Source organism: Homo sapiens, chromosome 1 (assembly GCF_000001405.40).
Source record: "Homo sapiens chromosome 1, GRCh38.p14 Primary Assembly".
NCBI classification, from domain to species: domain Eukaryota; kingdom Metazoa; phylum Chordata; class Mammalia; order Primates; family Hominidae; genus Homo; species Homo sapiens.
In genome coordinates, this window is record NC_000001.11 from 201,541,041 (window position 1) to 201,562,679 (window position 21,639).

The 21,639-nt window shown below is 46.6% G+C and overlaps 1 protein-coding gene across 3 annotated transcripts in view; it reads left to right on the plus strand.

The window, feature by feature from the left end:
• Window positions 1-21,639, plus strand: part of NAV1 (neuron navigator 1) — a 287,843-nt gene that overhangs the window by 1,914 nt on the left and 264,290 nt on the right. The gene's annotated exons all lie outside the window — the stretch shown is intronic.

Consider the following 21,639-nt stretch of genomic DNA (forward strand, 5'->3'; position numbering starts at 1 on the left):
ACTTCTTCAGCAGTTTATCTGATTTCCCTTGGGGCAGGTCTCACATTCTGCTTTGCATTTTTTGTTTTTGTTGATTGTCAGTGTGCCATGCTTTGTATTTTAGATATTTGGGTGTTTGTGCACATGCCTATCTTCCTGTGAGTACCTTCCAGCCAAACACCCTATCTGACCACCCACAACACTCAGCACACAGTAGGCACTTTATAGATGCTTGCCAAACTAATAGAATTGGGGAGAAAAACTAAGTAGCATTCAAAGGCCTCCTATCTCATTTAAGTGCCATTTATTCATTCTTTGGGAGTTAATTTGCTCCCCCAGACCCCCTCTACTTCTTTTTCCCTCAAAAGCAGTTCATAAAAATGTTGATTTGCCCATGGGTAAGTAGGCAAGCTTTGAATATTTGGGCTTTTTCTGGGATCTGGCTTCTTTGATAAACCTTGGCCTGGGGAAACTGAAAACAAGAATGCTGTTTTGGCCAGGTGCGGTGGCTCATGCCCGTAAGAGGGGCGGATCACCTGAGGTCAGGAGTTCGAGACCAGCCTGGACAACGTGGTGAAACCCTGTCTCAACTAGAAATATGAAAATTAGCCGGGTGTGGTGGCAGGTGCCTGTAATCCCAGCTACTCGTGAGGCTGAGACAGGAGAATTGCTTGAACCCGGGAGGCAGAGGTTGCAGTAAGCCGAGATCATGCCATTGCACTCCAGCCTGGGGGCCAAGAGTGAAACTCCATCTTTTTTTTAAAGGAGTGCTGTTTTTCCTTTCTTGCCTAATCTAGCCCCCTCCTGAGTCCCTGTGAACCTCTGGTATCAACTCAGTTTGGGCCCAGTAGAAAGGAGTGGCCTAGAATAGAAAAATCTCCTATCCATCTTTTACAATTTGTCTCTATTTTTGCCTTCCTATTTCCAATCAGTGTCACTTCCCTCTTCTTTTAAAGTTCTTTTGACTTCTTGAAGGGTTTGGCCTTTAAGAAAAACCAGAATGTCAAAGTTAAAAGGATCTCCACTCCTCCCAACCCCTGCTCTTCTCCCCTTTACAGGCAAGAATCAAGGCCCACTGAAGGGAAGGGATGGGCTCAGAGCTACACAACTGGGGTACTGCAGAAGCCCGCCTAGAATGCAGGGCTCCTGGCTTTCAGTTTAGGGCTCATTCCCTTTCAGCAAATCACTGGGAATTTTTATCTTCCTAGCGTTTCCATCTCAGCAGATGTTACTTACCTCTTAGCTAGAGAGAGGAACAGAAACATATTAGGGTCAAGACAGCTATCTCTGTGATGGAAGCATCTATCAACTTTTCGAGTCTCTGGAACATGGAGAGCTAAGAAATGTGGCAATACTTGGCAAACACTTCGTCTTTCTGGCCCCTAGTCACACACAAAAAATAATAATTAAAAACACTTTTAGTTCCTTCTTCAACTTAAAAATACCCCTCCAACTAGTCTAGCGAAAAACACCCTCCACAGTAAACCGTTTCCTGGGCCTCATCTGTTCCCTTAACCTCCTGGGAAGGCTGACTCAGGCCTGATTTCCTCCGAGAGGCCTGCGATTTTGCTTCCCAGCATCCTGTGACTCTTGAGACGTGAAGCGAGGCAGGATGGCTGAGACCCAGGCCACTCTGACCTGCCTGTGGATGTGGTTCAGGTTCTTACACATGTCCTGTGCAGTTCACACTACCACCCCATCAAATCTATTTGCTCTACTTAATTTTAATATGAGATGCACTAATATGCATATAAAATTAAAGGCTCTGATGCATGTGCCTCTGCCAAGGACCGTTACTAACAAGATGATTCCACTTCAAAAGACTGCAAGACTGTTCTGATATCCAATCCTCAGATGCTCTGAAAGCTTTCATAAATGGAATTGTTTCTTAATTTCCTTTTTGGCTTGTGTATTACTGGTGTGTAGAAACACAGCTGATTTTTGTGTGTTGATCTTGTCCCTTGCAATTTTGCTGAATTTATTAGCTCTAGTAGCTTTTTTGTTTCTGGATTCTTTGGGATTTTCTATACATAGGATCATGTCAACTGTGAATAGAAATAGTTTTACGTCTTTCTTTCCAATTTGAATGATTTTTATTTATTTTTCTTGCCTAATTGCTCTGGCTAGAACTTTCAGTATAATGTTGAGTGGCAGTGGTGAAAGCAGACATCCTTCTCTTGTTCTTGATCTTAGGGGGATTTCTTGATTTTAGCCTTTCACCAGTGAGCGTGATGTTAGCTGTGGGCTTTTCATAAATGTCCTTTGTGTTGAGGAAATCATCTTCTATTTCTAGTTTTCTAATCATTTTTTTTTAATCACAAAGGGGTGTTGAATTTTATGTCAAATGCTTGTTTTCTGTATCACTCGAGATAATCCTGTGGCTTGTTTTTTGTTTCCTTCATTGTGTTAGTGTGGTGCCTTACACTGATTGTTTTTCTTAAGTTGAATCACTCTTTTAGTCCTGGGATAAATCCCTCTGAATTTTTTTTTTTTTATCTGCAAAGTTTCATTTTTTTTTCCCCTGTAAAAAGACAACAAAATTTGACTAAGTGCTAACATTTTACATTAGGATGGGTTGATGTATTTAATTATACTTTTCATTATAATTAGTGTACTTTAAACATCTAACAATTATATTGTGGTAAATATGTATAACCTACAATTTACCATTTTAGCCACTTCTAAATGTACAGTTCAGTGGCATTAAATGCATTTGCATTGTTGTATAACCATCACCTGTAGCCATCTCTGGAACTTTTTTACCTTCCCAAACTTAAACTCTGTACTCATTAAAGAGTAACTCTCCATTCCCCTTCCCTCCTCCCCAAGGCCCCGGCAACCGCCATTTTACTTCCCATCTCTATGAATTTGTGAACATTTTTTAATAACTAGAAGTTAGGCATTAAAGGGTTAAAGGGCTGTATCTTCCTGTCTTCCAGTTTCCCACCAACTCCCTCCAGCCGGAGGGGCCACCACTGGCCCTGATGCAGAGATGAACTGATTGCTGGTCATCCTGAGACTCAGAGGGCACCACGCCCAGCCTCAGCGCGGGCTTCATTTCCTCTAGCTCAGGGATTCTCCATCTTGGTTGCACATTAGCACCACCTGGGGAGCTTTTAAAAATGACCAATTCCTGGGCCCATCCCCAGAGATTCAGCTTCACTTGGTTTGGAATGTGGCTTCAGTGTCTGTCATTTTTAAAAGCTCCCTAGGTGATTTTGATGCACTGTGAGGGTTAGAACTACTCAATGGTTGAGCTGATTTACTCGCTGGAACCCTTGACTGGTCACAGCTTTCAATGACGCAATTCCCTCCCCATCTGGTCGGTAATACTGACCCACTTTACATCCCTTCCCTGATTTTAAAATCCATTTGTAAATAGAGTAAATACCAACTTCTGTAAAATGAAACTTTCAAAGTTGGAAAGAAACTTAAGTGTCATGTAGCTTTTTCTATTCCAGATACATCAAATCCCCCTAAAACATCCCCCTCAGAGGTCATCCAGCTTGGACACCTCTGTTGCTGGGGCATTCCTGCAACACTATGTTGAAATCATCTTATTCTATATTTGGACAGCTCTGTCTCTCAGAGTTCCTCATTGTATTAATCTGTCAGGGATATGACTTCCACCCATCGCTGAAAGATCCCAAAAGCTTAGTGGGCTTCACCAAAATGCATCCCTGAATAAAGTGGAGGATATTCAAAATAAGTCATGCAGAATAAGTGTGATTGCCTACAGAGTGTCAGCCTTTCAATATTTGGGAACAACTACCATGCATCTGTCCCCATCTTTTCTTCTCTGGTCTCAGCAGCCCCACTTCCTTCAGATTTTCACTGGATGTGTCCCCATGTTTTTTCAAGGAAGGTTGATATATGACGTAATAGCAAGATTGTGGACCATGACATAACTAAGACTTGAACTCAAGGTTCAAACATTGACTTTGCACCTGAAGTCCTTAGCGAGATGAGCATTTAGGAAATATTGGCAATTGAAATTATATCCTCCACATGAGCATCATCGCTACACTCTGTGTGACCTTGGGCAGGCCATGGAATCTCTTAGAGACTCTGTTTCTTCCCCAGGAAAAGTGGAATGAAAATGCCTTACTCCTGGGACAATGTTTTCCAACTTGCCTCAGCTTTCAGTCCTAACCTCTTCCTTCTCCTCCTCGTCATTCCACAACCCCACACCTGCATAGATTCCTATGATCTGGCAATTTCAAAAAATACAGTCAAAGAGTGATTGCATGAATCAAGTGAGACCATGTCAGACCTGACTCAGTCTCTGGGATGCTCAATGTGTGTGCTTAATAAATGCCAGATTTAATCTTTTTTCTTTTCTTTTTTTTTTTAATTAATTTATTTATTTTTATTTATTTATTTTTTATTTGAGACAGAATCTCTCTCTCTGTCACCCAGGCATGTAGCTTTTTCTATTCCAGATACATGTTGGCCAGGCTGGTCTCAAACTCTTGGCCTCAAGTGATCTGCCTGCCTCTGCCTCCCAAAGTGTTGAGGATTACAGGCGTGAGCCACTATGCCCAGTCTCATCCTATTTCTTACTCACCTTCCTCATTATATGCATCACCCTTTAAATGCTAGTTTCTCTTCTTTGAAGGTGTCATGTCCAGAGTGAGGTGCACCACTCCATTTATGAGCTTACTGGCACAGGTTAGCCATAGGCAGATCACCTATTTATTATCAGATAGACAAAGCAGATTTTCTTTTCAATTTGTAGATTGCCCCTGAAAACCAGAGAACTGGGCTGATGCAGAAGGGATAAATGAAGGCATAAAGGAACGAGTCTGACTGTATCTTTGCTCTTTACTGTTTGTTGTTTAGTTATTTCATCTGGTTTTGGTGTTATCTAATTTTTTGGTAGACTTCAAGCATAGCATAGAATAGGTCCATAATAAAGGATTTCAAGAGTCAGTTACCAGTGCCTTTTTCCCAGTTCATTGGTGCAGATAATTGAGTTGACTGGGAAGGAGTATCTGGGTTCTGGGTAATGCCAAGATACCAACTGCTCTCTTCCTGCTTTTCCTTTAACAAAGGAGAGACAGCTGATGAGACACACGGTTAGGGGGCCCCAGCCAGGACCCATACGAAGCAGCTGCCTGCCTTTGTCTCTCATCTGGGACCATTCTGTATGGCCCCTCTGGCTCTCCTTCCCCAGAGCTTCAGGAAGAGGGCTGGATTGCACGGCATACCCTGCACTATTGCGTGCTGCCCGTTGGACCCTGGCTTTTTGTGCTCTTCATCGCCCTCTGGGTATAGTTCGCTTTACCAAGTAGATTTAGAAGGTGTCAGCCACACTTACCCCTACCTCACTGGGTGAGTCTGTGGAAGCTGCACCCTCAGGGCCCATGCGCAGTTCCCAGGGGGAGGGGAAAGGGCCACATGACAGTTAAGGTGCTTTCCTATGGTGCAAGTTCCCCCACACACAAGGTTTTATTTTGAAAACCGTCAGATAAGTAGAGAAGGTGAAAGACTGACTAGTACGATGAATGTCTACATTCACTGATTGTTGACATTTTGCTAGATTGCTCTGTATATAGATCAATCTATATAATATTTTTCTGAGCCACTTAAGAGTAATTTGTTGCCAGGCCCAGTGGCTCACACCTGTAATCCCAGCACTTTGGGAGGCCAAGGTGGGTGGGTCACGAGATCAGGAGATCTAGACCATCCTGGTCCAACATGGTAAAACCCCGTCTCTACTAAAAATACAAAAATTAGCTGGGCATGGTGGTGGGTGCCTGTAATCCCAGCTACTCAGGGGGCTGAGGCAGGAGAATCACTTGAACCCGGGAAGCAGAAGTTGCAGTGAGCTGAGATGGCACCACTGCACTCCAGTCTGGGAGACAGAATGAAACTCTGTCTCAAAAAAAAAAAAAAAAAAGTAATTTGTTGACATCATGATACTTAACCCTTCAACACTTAAGCATGTTATTTCCAAAGAACAAGGACATTTTTTTTTTTTTGAGATGGAGTTTCGCTCTTGTTGCCCAAGCTGGAGTGCAATGGCACGATCTCAGCTCACCGTAACCTCCGTCTCCCGGGTTCAAGCGATTCTCCAGCCTCAGCCTCCCGAGTAGCTGGGATTACAGGCACGCGCCACCATGCCCGGCTAATTTTTTTGTAATTTTAGTAGAGACGGGGTTTCTCCATGTTGGTCAGGCTGGTCTCAAACTCCCGACCTCAGGTGATACGCCCACCTCGGCCTCCCAAAGTGCTGGGATTGCAGGTGTGAGCCACCGCACCCGGCCAAACAAGGACATACTTCTATGAAGCTACAGCACCACAATCATACCCGTTAGTACTGGATTTAACAGAATTGTTTAATATATGGCCAGAATCAGATTTTCCAGTAGTTTCCCAAATGCCTTTTTGAGAGTGCTGTATACTTTTTCTCAACCCACAGCCTGCTCAGTTAAGGCCTAAATTGGAATTTTCTCTCTCAGCAAAAGGGAAATAAGGTCATGATCCCTAAAATTGGGATAGTGAACCACGGGAGGAGAAGCACTTTGACTTATATCATTTCATGTAATCGTTCCAACAACTTAGCGAGATAGGTACTAGTATTCTCTCCATTTTACTGGTTAGGAAATTGCAGTTCAGAGAGTTATCTAAGTTGCCCAAATAGTATGAGCCATTATTACCACTCCATGCTGCATGTCATATGTAATGATAGAAAAATAAGAGATTATATTTGTAAAAACCTGCGTCTTTTACATTCCACACATTCTGTATCCTCTTCACTAGGTCTTTTTTTAAATTACTATTATTTTTTGAGACGGAGTCTTGCTCTGTTGCCCAGGCTAGAGTGCAGTGGCATGATCTCGGCTCACTGCAACCTCCACCTCCCAGGTTCGAGCAATTCTCTGTCTCAGCCTTCCGGGTAGCTGGGATTACGGGCACCTGCCACCATGCCCGGCTAATTTTTGTATTTTCAGTAGAGACGGGGTTCCACCATCTTGGCCAGGCTGGTCTGAAACTCCTGACCTTGTGATCTACCCACCTCGCCCTCCCAAAGTGCTGAAATTACAGGCGTGAGCCACTGTGCCCAGCCCACTAGGTCTTATGAGGTGTTAGCACATGCTATGCTGTCCCCATTTGACAGAGGAGGAAAGTGAGGCTCTAAGGCTGGGATTTAATAATATTTATGTAGTCATGATCATGTAAATGACATTTACTGATAGTCTTTATGCAGAGCTCAATATACTTAGTTGTGGTTGCTGGGCAGGCTGTAAATAGCTATCAATAAAGGTGTAACTGCCAAGGCAGGAGGATTTCTTGAAGCCAGAATTCAAGACCAGCCTGGGAAACCTAGCAAGACTCACCCCCCAATCTGTACAAAACATTAAAAAATTAGCTGGGCATGATGGCACATGCCTATAGTATGGTCCTCCTGCCACAGCTACTTGGGAAGCTGATATAGGAGGATCGATCACTTGATCCCAGCCAGGAGTTTGAGGTTGCAGTGAGCTATGATTGCACGACTGCACTCCAGCCTGGGTGACAGAGCAAGATCCCATCTCTTAAAAAAATAAAAATAAATAAATAAGTGAATAAAGGTGTTATTGACTGAAGAAGAGAGGTAGAAGAGGGAAAAGGAGGGTCTCTAATACTCTCCTCTTCTACTGAGGGGATTCAAGAGTCTGTCAAAGTGTTAGAAAACAAGAAACCAAATTTTAAGATCAAAGGTACAAGATAACTCATAAAAGTAACTAAAATCAAATATTGGGAGGAAGAAAAGGAGAAAGAGAGTCGGGTTTAGTGTAAGTGCTCTAAACTTGTCTAACTCCTTTGGTAATGATAGATATTGTCTACAGGTGACAAAACAGGGAATAGTTATTAGTATGTTATCTAGAGTTTACGTGGATAACCACCAAAGGAGCTAATAACAGAAAACTATTTGGACAATAGAATGGAGTTGGGAAGAGGTGGGACAGGAAACTGTTGCTTGTTATTATAAGGTCTTCTGTACAATTTGATGGTGACCACCCAAAACAGTAGTGAGGAAGGCAGGCTTTAAATTCAGATATTCTAGTTTTCTCTTTCTTTCTTTCTTTCTTTCTTTCTTTCTTTCTTTCTTTCTTTCTTTCTTTCTTTCTTTCTTTCTTCTTTCTCTCTCTCTCTTTCTTTCTTCCTTCTTTTCTTTCCTTCCTTCCTTCCTTCTTTCTTTCTTTCCTTCTTTCTTTTTTTGACAAAGTCTCACTCTGTCACCCAGGCTGGAGTGCAGTGGAACAATCACAGCACATTGCAGCCTCAACCTCCCCAGGTTCAGATGATCCTCCCACCGCAGCCTCCCGAGTAGCTGGGATTACAGGCATGTACCACCACGCCTGGCTAAATTTTGCATTTTTTGTAGCGAGGGGGTTTTGCCATGTTGCCCAGGCTGGTCTCAAACTCTTAGGTTCAAGCGATCCACCTGCTTCAAACTCCCAAAGTTCTGGGATTACAGGCATGCGCCAACGCGCCTGGCCTTCTGGCTTCTAAATACACAGAGGTGAGCAGGACAAAAGGCCTGGCCTTGGAGGAAGGAAATCTAAGGCTGGGATTTAATAATATTTATGTAGTCATGATCATGTAAATGACATTTACTGATAATCTTTAAGCAGAGCTCAATATACTTAGTTGTGGTTGCTGGGCAGGTTACAGCCTGCCCAGCAACCACAGAGAGGACTGTCTTAAGACCTGGGTGCCGGCCTGGCTCAGTGGCTCACACCTGTAATCCCAGCACTTCGGGAGGCTGAAGCGGGCAGATCATGAGGTCAGGAGATCGAGAACATCCTGGCTAACAGGGTGAAACCCTGTCTCTACTAAAAATACAAAAAAATTAGCCGGGTGTGGTGGTGGGCACCTGTGGTCCCAGCTACTTGGGAGGCTGAGGCAGGAGAATGGCGTGAACCCAGGAGGCGGAGCTTACAGTGAGCCAAGATCTCACCACTGCACTCCAGCCTAGGCGACAGAGCGAGACTCCATCTCAAAAAAAAAAAAAAAAAAAAAAAAAGACCTGGGTGCCCGCCGGGCATGCTCACCCAGAAAGAGCTCCAGGACGCAGCATGCCCATAAGGATGCACCCAACACCCTACATCCCACATGAATTGCTAAATATTTGTTGTAATTTAAAAAAAATTATAATTTCACTTTTTTTTTGTTTTTAAGAGACGGGGTCTTAACCTGTTGCCCAGGCTGGAGTGCAGTGGCACCAATGCAGCTCACTGCAGCCTTGACTTCCAGGGCTCAAGTGATCCTCCTGCCTCAGCCTCCTAAACAGCTGGGACCACAGGCGCCCGCCACCACACCCGGCTAATTTTTGTATATTTTGTAGAGATGGGGTCTCGCTATGTTGCCCAGGTTGGTCCCAAACTCCTGGCCTCAGGATTGCTCCCAACCTTGGCCTCCCAAAGCATTCAGATCACAAGGGTGAACCACCATCCTTGGCCTATAATTTCACTTTTAAAAGTATTTGGTTATCAGCAATTCATTTATTAATAATTTTAAATTGGCTATTTCTTGGTAACCCTGAACATATGCAGAAATTACTGGATCAGAAGAAAAATTTTATCTGTAAGTTATTTTCAAATAGAATGCATTTTTGTGAAAGCTAAAGTTAAGTATTGAAGAAGTTGACACAATGTTACATTTTATAGATGTTTGATTAAATCTTGATTAACTTCAATTTTGTAGTTTTATGTTTGTATTTGGGAACCCAGGGCCTCTGAAAAGCTCCTCGGCTCTGCACTTTCTGTCCTGGGAACATGTGGGGTGGGTGGTCTATGTATGGCCCTGAAGGGCCTCTCGGCAAATGTTTGAGACCCACACCACTCTGGAGCAGTCACCTGACCCAGAGGATGGAGGTTGGCTTGACTGAAGTTCCATAACCTAAATCCCATCCTGCTATCAGAGTTCTTCCTCAGGCCTTCACTGCAAAGGTTCCTCTGGTCTACTCTATGGTCCGTGCTGAATGACTTCATATCCATCCTCTCGTTTACTCTTCATGGCAACCTTATGAGGTGGGCAGGACAAATATTTCCCTTTCTGTAGATGTCAAAATCGGACTCAGAGAGGCTAAGTAACTTACCCAAAGCCACATAACTTTAGGGAATGAGTTGGGGAACCCAAGTCTTCCAGCTCCTGGTCTTTGTCCTTTCCAATACACTCCAGGGTCATGTATAGCAGAAGGGGCCAGTGGACTGGTGTCTTTCTTTTTTTTTTCTTGAGAAAGGGTCTTACTTTTTTGCCCAGGCTAGAGTGCAGTGATGCAATCATAGCTTACTGCAGCCTCAACCTCTCAGGCTCAAGCGATCTTCCCATCTCAGCCTCCTGAGTACCTGGGATTACAGGAGCACACCACCACACTTGACTAACTTTTACATTTTTTGTAGAGACAAGGTCTTGCTATGTTGCCCAGGCTGGTCTGGAACTCCGAGGCTCAAGTGATCTTCCCATCTCGGCCTCCCAAAGTGCTGGGATTACAAACATGAGCCACCTCGCCCAGCGCCACAGTGTCTTTAATGGCTCATAGAACTTAACCACAGACATCATGTCTGTTATACAAATGCAGAAATCATATTGAGCTTTTAAATTTACTTTGCTATCACATTTATTTTGACAAGCGCTTGAGATTTATTTCTCAATAAAAGCTACTTTAAAGTACACCACCAATTTTATCACTTCTGCTCATTTTTACCCAGTCAAAAAAATAACGTAAAAGTGTTACGTTTTGAGGTTCTGTTTCTCATTTTCTCATCAGAGTTGAAAATTACCATTGTGCATGAATTTAGGCCTGTGTTAGGCTGGCAACCCATTAAAACTCCTCTGCTTTTTAGCCGGTCTGGAGCTAATAAGCCGGCCCCTCCCAATTTACACATCTCCTGTGAGATCCAGTGTCTCTCTGTCACTCATTACCAAGCTCCTTACTAAATGTCATCACAAAGATGCCACATCACCCCTCTTAGTCATCTCCCCACTTCCTCTTGCTGGCCATGGCCAGAAAGAAATCAGGGGCCGTAGGGAGGCCTAGAAAGTGACCACAGAGTTGGGGGTGGCTGTGGGAAGTGGATGGGAATGGCCACTGCTGAGCTGGCCACAGAGACTGTGACAAAGACAAAGGCCTCTGTGTTTGGGATGGCAGGGAGGGGGCCAGAGGCCGAGTCAGGGCTGGCATGCTGATAGTCTGGGAAAGGCCTCCCAGGGCAGAGGAAAGCCCACAATGCCACTCTGAGTTGGCCGCTCTTAGCACTTGGAAGTAGCTTAGTTGGGTCCTGATACACAGTAGGGGCTCAGCAAACATTTGTTGATTGATTATTTGGCAGGGTGGCGGGGTTGGGGGTAAGGGATGCCTTTAAGCTGAGGTGGGTAAAGGGAATGTCCTTTCCCTTTCTCCTGCCCACGGGAGCGCTGAAGGTGCTGAATTTCCCTGGCTTGTTCAGAGGCCACCTCTTTGCTTCCTTGACCTCTCCCTGACATTGGGCTCTGACGCATGTGGGGTAATGCACAGGCTTTGGAGTCAGCCTGACCCGGGTTCCTACAACCTCCCTGAGCCTCAATTTTCTCGTCTGTAAAATGGGGGCAATAATACTCAGGCCAGGGAATTGTGAAGATCATCCTAGAAGGTGTTAAGCACCCTCTGGCCTAGAGCCAATGTTGGTCATTCTTATGGTCCTTAATTTGGATGCCCCGTGGCTCGCTGCACCCCCATGTATAAAATAAATCCTTGATCCACCGAACGTACACCGGACAGGCAAAGGGATGGAGCGAAGTCAAGGATGCCTCATTTAGCCCCAGCCATGCAGACTATACTTCGGGGTAGATTTATCCCCAAATGGATGTTTACGTATCAGACAGGGGATGCTTCCCTGTCTGAGGGTCAGATGGACGGGTGGAAGGGTTATCTGTGGTGCTGGCTCTAAGATATATGGTCCCTCAGGCCCCTCTGGGCTCCAGACTGCAGGCCTCCAGGGGACGAGGGGGGCAGAGTGGCCTGGGGTTTTGTTTGGCAACACTGGCCTATTATCTGGCCCAGGCTGTGTTTCCAGGGCATTGTAAATAGCACCCGCTTGGCTCTGGAAGGAGGAGCCGCAGATGTGGCTGAGGCAAAATATATGGTAAGGTGGGAGATTTGAAATGATAAACTCGAGGCTTGTGAGCCAAAATACAGGCTGGGGCCATCTCCAGGCAATAGGACACCAGGGAGGGCTCAGCCTGGATACCTCTGTGGTGAAGGCCTGACTCACAAAGCCAGACAGAGCCTGTGCTCAGTGGCCCATGGGCCAGGGCTGCCGGCTCTGTTTGCTTCCATCTGCCTCTTTGTAGAGAGCCTGGGCTGCTTCCTAAACTCAGCCAGAGGAGTGAACAGAGCTTGAGCCAGATTTCAGGTCTAGAGAGAGAAGCAGGAGAAAATGTGAGGGTATATTCACCTGCAAAAGGCCAGCCACTGTGTGTTCCAACCGAGAAGGAGGGAATCCTTTTCTCTTCTTTTATTCTATTGTCTTCTATTTTAATTGAGGTATAATTTACAAACAGTGAAACACACAGATCGATGTGTTTTTGACAAATGAATACGCCCATGTGACCCACACCGGATCCAGATATGGAACATTTCCATCAACCCACAGAATTTCCCTCCTGTCCCTTTTGTCAATGTGCTCCCACCCACTGTCTCCGTGTTCTGATTCGTATCATCATAGATTAGTTTTGCCTGCTCTTGAACTTCATATAAATGGAATCATGTGGTAGGTTCTATTTTGTGTCTGGCTTCTTAGCTCAGCATAATGTTTTTGAGATTCATCCATGTTGAATGATGTATTTTGCTTCTTTTAATTTCTGACGTATGAATGTGCCACAGTTTGTTTATGGGAGGAAACTTGAGATTCCTTTCATTGCGGTAGGATTCACATCTATCCAGCATCAATAGAGTATCTGCCAGGGTTTTGAGAGTTAAGCTGGTCGGTCCTTAGTGGATGTTTAAAGTGTTCAGTGTCACCTTCTTTGTTCCCAGACAACTTCCCCATTTCTGTGTCTTGCTGTAAAAGACCATAATGCCTTTTCTTCCCTCCATGGACTGGAGCTGCCTTTATCTCCTGGAGCTGGGAAGTTCAGATCATTTGTAGAGGGGCCCCTGGTTTCCCCATAAGACAGAATGTTATTCTTTAATCTGAATTGAGCTGACACGTGTTGACAGACAGGGGTGTCTGGCCCTGCATGTGGGAAACACAGGTCCACGTGCAAGACTGGAGCCTGTGGTGGGGAGACACTGGTGACCCGGAGCCAAGAAGTGACATGATGAAGCTGTTTTACCAGCAGGACGGCCCTAATGGCAGGGACCACGTCTGTTCTGTTCACCGATGGGAAGCCAGCACATAGCACAGAACCTAGCAAGCAGTGGGCATTCCATAAAGAGGTGTGGGACCAACTAATGGCTTGGAAGAGGGAGAGTTGGGCCAGCAGATGTACTGTCACGTTCCTGACATGCAAAGTCTGGGCTAGGGCGGCCCTGCTGGGGAAGGAAAGGAAGAGCCGTGGGAGAGACTTTTTACAAAGGAAAACCGAACAGGACTGGATGACTGTGGAACATGGGAGGGACACAACAGAGAGCAGAATCCAAAAGTCGTGCAGTCTTTTTGGAAGAGCACTGGACTGAAAGTTGAGTCCCTCCTGCACCTTTTGGCATATAACCTGGGTAACTCATTTAACCTGTCTCAGTCTTAGAGTCCTTATCCATCAAATGATCAGTTTGCTAGGGCTGCCATAACAAAGTACCACTAAGTGGGTGGCTTAATGAAACAGAAATCTATAGTGTCAGTTCTGGAGGGTAGAAGTCTGAAATCGAGGTGTTGGCAGGGTCATACTCCCTCTGAAATTAGTGGAGAATTTTTCCTTGCCTCTTCTAGTGTCCGGTGCTTTCCGACAATCCTTGTCATCCCTTGGTGTAGAGACACATCACTCCGATTTCTGCCTTCACCGCTGCATGGCCATCTCCTCCCTGTGGCCTTCACATCCTCTTCCCTCTGTGTATGTCTATGTCCAAATTTCCCTCTCCTTATAAATACAGCAGTCATACCAGATTAGGAGCTCACTCTACTCCAGTATGACCTCATCTTCACTAATTACTTCTTCAATGACCCTATTTCCAAATAAGGTCACATTCGGAGACACTGGGAATTAGTACTTCAATTATCTTTTTTGGTGACACAATTCAACCCATAACATGCCACCTGCCACAAGATTGAATGAGGCAATCCTTTGTCATTGTTGCAGGTAAGGCAAGAATCAGGGGAGATTTTGGCCAGAGACCTACTTTTAACATTCTATGTGACCTCGTTCAAATCTCTTCTCCTCTCTGGATCTCAGTTTCCTCATCTACAAAATGATCTGTAATGTCTTCCCTAGATGTAAATCCCACAACTCCTTGACTCTGAAGCTCTGAGGTTTTGAGTCTGGGGGCCTGGGAGAGCTGTGGAGCTACTAACAGATATGGGGAAGTCAGGAGGGTAAGCCAGTCTGGGGATCAGAAGCTTCCTCTAGGTTCCATCCCTCATTTGGGAACTCAGCCCTCTTCTCCTGGTGGCCGGGACCCTGGAAAGTCCCAAGCATCTTCTATCCCCATCCCCTGCGCCATCACCCCTACCTTAGTGAGGCTCAGAAGGAGGGAGGGCTGCTATAAATAGCACCCTGGAATCAAAAGGCCCTCTTCCTGTGCAGGAAACACAGCGGCCTAATGGAGGCAGGAAAAAGGTGTTTCCGAAAGAGAGGCCAGAAAAGGGAGGGGCAGTGGGGATTCGGGAGCCAGATGGGTTCCCGGGTGCTGGAGCAAAGGTGCTGTGAAGGGAGATGGGGGGCGGGGGGCGGGGCAGATTTAATAACAGCTTCTGGGGTACTACTTGAGGTCGGCCTATCTGGAACCCCAAGAGAACAGTCTGTGGAAAAGGCCCAAGAGGTATTTGAGTTGGGAGACTTAGGATTTCAGGTCCGAAAGTGGGGATTGAAAATGCCACATTCATTAATTCACTGATCCATTCATTCATTCACTAGATATTAGCCACAGCTTAGGACTGTCCTAGGTGCTAAGGACAAACAGTATAACGCTCTTTTATAAAAAATAGTCTGAGACCTGGAGCAGTGGCTCATGCCTGTCACTTTAGAAGGCCAAGGTGGGTAGATTGTTTGAGCCCAGGAGTTTGAGACCACCCTGGACAACATACAGAGTCCCCATCTCTACAAAAAATAAAAATAAAAAAATTAGTCGGGCATGGTGGTGGGTGTCTGTAGTCCCAGCTACTCGGGAGGCTGAGGCAGGAGACTTTCTTGAACCTGGGAGGCAGAGGTTGCAATGAGCTGAGATCGCACCACTGCACTCCAGCCTGGGGGACAGAGGAAGACCCTGTCTCAAAAAAGAAAAAAAAAAAAAGGTCTGGTAAGCAAACCAGTGATTACACCCCAGTTGTAATAGCTCAGGACAGTGGGGGGACAGTGGAGGGACTGTAACCCCTGGAGGGGCAGGAAGGGCCTCTTGGGAGGTGAATTCCTCCTCCTGGGCTTGCAGGAATTAAGTCAGGCAAAGACTGGGTTGGAGGGGAGGGAACTGGGGGGCCTTCCAGGCAAGGGGAGAAAAATACTTGGACTCTTCCCCTCTGCTGTCCTAGCCCCAACCTTAGTCCAACCTGGGCCAGCAGCAGAGGTCTAAGGACCAGCCCTGCCCCCTCCATAGAGGCTTGCCACCAGTCCTTGGGGCCCTCTCTGGAGAAATGCCCCTCTCCTCACCAGCAAAGAGCACCATCCTCCAAATGCCTGTGTGGAAAACGGGTCTCAAGTGACCTCTCAATGGAGAGCCCTAGAAAATCATTAGTGTTCCCCCTGTAAAAACAGGGGCTTAATTCTACGGGCAAATATCTCAGGCAAAAGCTCAGACCAGTAGACTCGTCTCTGGTGCAAAGGAGGAAGATGAGTCAGCCAGGGTCCCGGGAACCCTGACTCCATGATCCTGCCAGACCACAGGGCCCCCACTTAAGGCTTGGAGGGGGCTGAGATGAAAATGATCTACTGTTTCTCTTAGGAAGCCCTAGGGAAGTCCAGTTTGGTGTCAAGTTGAAGATTTCTATGCATTCCCACGGCACCAACTGTGATGGTGAAATGCCACATTTCAGCCCCAATCATTCAGCCAGATTGGATTGCAATTAGTACCTGAGGCAGGAGCCCAATGCCCTCTGAGGTGCCTGGGTGAATTTCAACTTCTGTGCTGCTCCTTTTGTGAAACAATGCAAGAGATTCTGGAAGAAAGACAAAGGGTTGGGGGATGTGCTTGTCCAATGTCCTTCAGCACAGCCCACAGGACAGCCTTCAGACGTGTCCTGAGGCTTGTGTGCCCAATCACACATGCAAGGAATTAGGGGCCTGCCTTAGGGCTTGATTCCAGGACATTTACTCCCCATGGGGAGATCACTTACAAAGCTGCACTGTGGCCCCAGAGGTTCCCCTGGGCTAGTCTTAGAGAGAATTAAAGTCAGAAACCACCCAGCCTCCCCAAAACACTTAACTACCACCTCCAAATTAGCACCGTCCTTGGCTGGTAATCAAATTCTAGGAGATAGTTCCTGATCTTCCCAGTTTTCAGGTGGGTTAACTGAGGACCGGCTTGCCCACACCACTTAGGCTAGATAGAACAAGTAATTAAAGCCCAGAAATAGCTGGCTGAGATCCAGCCTGTTTAATGTAATAATGCTGAGAAATGTCAAACGTGGTTTTGTTCCAATAGGAGTGGAAGGGATGAAGAGAGACAGGAAGAAAGCACTCTATGTAGTTTCTGGAGTTGGCTGTAGAAGGACGAAAGGACTCCTCAGGGGCTGCGGAAAGGAAGCCATCTATGTGCTGGGCGGTGACTGAGCTGTGCATGGAACCCTGCGCAAGGGGCTTGGAGGGGCAGAAAGGAGGAGGCCTGGACTCCAAAAAACAAAAACAGAAACCAGGGATAAGAATAAGGGTGAAACAGAACTGGGTTTCTATCCTGCTGCCTCTTCCTAGCTGTGCGACTTCGTGCATATTATTTATCCCCTCAATGTTTTCGTGCTTTGTAGGAGCCAAGGGAAAGCTTTCCCACCACCCTCTGAAACTTCACTGAAAATAAACTGACGATATGTAGATAAAAGGCAGATAAACTTATTTAACGTGCATAAGCTCATGGGAATCACAGGAGAATGGTCACTCCATAACCCAGTGAGGTCCAGAGGCTTATATACCCTTCTACATAGGGGAAGGGGAAATGCGGGCCATATGGCCATTTTGAAGAGTAGGCAGTGATTTTTCGGGGAAATGAATGAGCCCAGTGCTCAGATAATGGTTAGTAAATCATTCTCTTTGGGAATTGAATGGAACCAAAGAACGAACACTGGTTTGGGACAAAATTTGTCTGGGATCTAGGTGTGGTGTTTTTTGTTTGTTTGTTTTGAGATGGAATCTTGCTCTGTCGCCCAGGCTGGAGTGCAGTGGCACAATCTCGGCTCACTGCAACATCTGCCTCGCGGGTTCAAGCGATTCTCCTGTCTCAGCCTCCTGAGTAGCTGGGATTACAGGCGCACACCACCACGCTGGCTAATTTTTGTATTTTTGGTAGAGACGGGGTCTCACCACGTTGGTCAGGCTGGTCTTGAACTCCTGACCTCGTGATCCACCCGCCTCGGCCTCCCAAAGTGCTGGGATTACAGGCGTGAGCCACCGCGCCCGGCACAGGTGTGGTGTTTAATTTTCAGTCTCTTCCTCTGTGATATGAATTTTAATCTTCTATGGTTAATAAAACTTCAGGGAAGGAATCAAAAGCAATTGTGTTCCTCTTTGGGGTCTGGCTTCTAGGGAGATAAGAGAATTCCAGAGAATAGTCTCATCCTGTGCTTTGAGAAAGATGGATGATTGAGAGGCAGGAGTTGGGGTGGGGGAAGTCAGAGGTACCTTGAGTCTGCTTCTTTAGTTCAGCATGTCAAAAGGCCATATTATGGGGTATCGTTTTCTGAGCCCCAACACCTTCATCTGTAAAATGGGAATAATTTTAACCTAGCTCATTGGATAACCTTGTTCACAAGGATTGAAGGAGATAACGCGTATAACACCTTTAGCATAGCGCCAGGCATATGGAAAGGGGTTGTTGATAGCTCTTGGCCTTCTGGAGCCCGTTTCCCCTCTGTAAATTGGGGGTTATTTATGGTCCTTACGGGCCTGCCGAGAGGCTACCATGAATTGTGGTTATAAAGGGCCTGGCTATGAAATAGATGCTCAATAAATGTTTCCTGCCCTTGAGAAGCTCCCCATCCATTTGGAGAGACCAGAAGCACACCCTTGGAGGATCTGACACTGGAGACTCGCACATAAACCACCAGGAACAGTGCTCTTCCAACAGTTGCTGCTTTTAAGTCTCTTGTAGGTTGGGGGAGGCTGAGGGTCCTTAGAGTTACGACTGGGAGCAGGGTTTTGATGGAGGTGAGAAGCTTTGTCCGAGATGATGGTCGAGGTGCCATGCATGTGGGCAGAGGGCAGCAAAATTGTCCATTGAAGCACTGATCGCTGAAGCTGGAGTGTGAGGAAAGGGAAGGCCTGTTAGCCCAGAGCTGTGGAAGGATTAGCCTCCTTTCTCCTGTGCAGGTTTCATTTAGCAGCCCTTAAGAACAGTGCAGTGTCCATCCACTTCTCTTTGGACAGAACCCCGTGCCATCCGCCAATAGGTGCTTAATAAAGGCGGTGTAGAGGGATTCTGGGAAGGAGGAAGAATCTGGTTCGGCCTTTGTCTGCATGGCCTTGCATCTTCCTGTTGCCGCCACCAGAGGGTGCAGTTGCCCAGCAGAACCCAGCCCGATCCCCACGCCCTCCTCTCCTATGCAGGCAGCTCGCAGCTCTGCATCTTGTGGGCTAAGGAAGCAGGTCCCACAGGCACGTGTCCCCTCCTTCTCAGACTGGAAGAAAGTTGGGGTGAGAGGCTCAGGCTGGGGCAGTCCTGCACTGTGCGGGAAGCCAGGCAGGGTAGGGCGGCCGAGGAAGTTCAGAGGATGGGAAGAGCAGAACCGTATCTGTCTCTCTGTGTTGTGTTTGCCTCTGCCTTGCTGGGTGGTATCAAAAAACTCTCCTATTCTTGATTTAGGTTCCATCTTCTATAAACCACACCCCTCCTCAACAAAAACCAAGATTCTTGCTTTCTCTCATGTAACTTTCATTTTTTTCAGGATGTAAAACCCATTAAGGATCTTGGGTGATAGAGTATGGGACAGGCTAGAATGCTATTTGATGGCAAGAGCAAAAGGTCAATAATTTTTCAGCCTGGCTGCTGCTTCTTATGGAATCTTCTTCCCTTTGGGTTATGGACCCCTTAGCCAGCGCCAGCTTCCCCTCCACCATCAGCATATCCCTCCTGCCAGGCCAGAACAACTTGCCCCATTGAAGATCCCAAACTACTAGTGGTCTAGCCTTGGCCATCCTGGTGTGGTGACCAACAGGCAAGAGCCCAGTGACCCTGCATCCGGGGTGTTTGGGGTGCCAGAGAGAAGCAGAGGAGGAGCTGGAATTGGCAATGGACCCTAGGTTCCTTGCCAGAGCTCTTGCCCCACAGCAGGCCCTGAGAAACAGGATATTTAATGAAATCCTGTCTCCCAGTCCTTCAATGCCCAAGTCACTGTTCCCGTGGAAAGACACTGATGTTTGTACAGATGTGCATCTCTGTTGCTGCGTGGCAGCATTTTTATCTCCTGTCTCTGCAGAGCCCCTTCCCTGGGACTGAGGAGCCACAGAAGGCTTTGGGATCTGTGGATCCTTGCCATGAGCCGAGACCTCCCAGAGCTCCAGCACAATGACGGGAAGGCCAGGCTGCTATTCCAGGCCAGCCCTGGGTGCCACAAAGCAGACAGTGGGCTCAGGGAACATAGTCAGCATTTCCGTTGCATTTGCCACCACCACAGGCTTTCCAGTGGCGTGCAGCAGTCGCTACTCTTTCCACAGGTACCAGGGAGTGTGTTCATCCAGTGACTGGCTTGGGACCAACCTGGGGTGGGGCTTTGATTTCTGAACCTTTTCTCCATGAGACCCCAAGAAGCCCCTGCCTTGACCACAGCTTGCCTCTGTGGTGGGTGGGACCCCTTGCTAGTGGAGGATGGGAGCTCCTTTGTGAGTCCTTCTCTTCATTTTAAAGGGACAGAGTCGGCAGTCCCTCTTGCTGCTGGGACAGTGGGATATTGTCAGTCAATGAAGTAGTCCTAAGTGTAGTAATTTTTAGTGTTGTGAGAATGGTGATTTGCAACAGGAAACAAGAACTAGCTCCCAGCCTAAAGGGTGATGTGGGAAAAGAAGGTAAACGAATCTGCCCCATCACACATGGTGTTACGCAAAAACAGGATGTGGGAGCTGCACAGATCTGAGTTCAAATCCTGATTCTGTTACTTACTTACTTACTAGCTGGGTAACTAACCAGGGTGCTTTAGTTTCCTTGACTGTAAATGAGGTAATTGTGAGAATTAAAGAAGATTAAATCTGTATAGTAGCTGGCATATGCTAGACATTCAATAAAAGTTAGTTTCCTTCACTTCCATTATCCATGTTTCTAGATTTTTCTTCTGAGTCCTTTTTTTCTGGACATTGGAAGCTCCCCACAGATACAGAAGTTTTTCCCTATTAGGCAGTAGGCTTCCTGGGGGCAGGGTTCTGTCTCTTCCATTAGTGTAGGATCTGGTTAAGGACAAGGCTGTGTTTGGCTGTGTTCCCTACTCAGCCTGGGGCCTCCATGAGATTAGGAACTGTGCCTTGCCCATCAGCCTGGGAACTCCCTGCAGGCTGGGGCTCTGTTCCTCCATCAGATCCCCCATGTTCAGGGCCCTTAGGCAGTAAGCTTGGTCACAGCATGAGACTATCAATGGTTGGAACAAAGGCACCCAGTTAGGTTTAGGTTTGAGAATCAACCAAGGAGACCAAGGAGGTTCTGAAGGTATTTTTTATTTATTTATTCCTATTTATTTTTCGGTTTTTTTAGAGACAAGGTCTTGCTCTGTCACCCAGGCTGGAGTGCAGCGGCACCATCATAGCTCACTGCAGCCTTGAACTCCTGGGCTCAGGCGGTTCTCCCACCTTAGCCTCCTAAGTAGCTGAGACTACAGGCACACACCACCTTGCCTGGCTAATTTTTTTTTTTTTTTTTGTAGAGACAGCTGGGTTGGGAAGTCTCACTATGTTGCCTAGGCTGGTCTCGAACTCCTGGGCTCAAGTGATCCTCTGGCCTTTCAGCCCCAAAAGTGCTGGAATTACAGGCATGAGCCACCAAACCCAACCTGAAGGTATTTTTCTAAGGTCAAGTATGCCCCCCGACCTTGGGTCCTAGTTGGTAGAAAGCATTTCCGAAGTGGAGACATCTGGATGGCAGATGTGAAGTTGGCTGGGATGGGCGAAGGTCTGGAAGGCTTCAGATTCCAGGCCCCATGACTCACTCCTCCATCACAGCAACCCCTCAGCAGCTGGGCCTCCTGAGCCCTGGGCAGGACAGGGTTAGTGGGCCAGGCCCAGGTGGGCAGTGGTCCTTTGCCTTGGACACTGTATGGTCTGAAAGGATCCCGGCAGGACTGATCACTTTTGAAACTGCTTTCTGAAAGCTCCAAGCTTCCTTCTGAGTGGAGCTTAAGATATAATATTAAG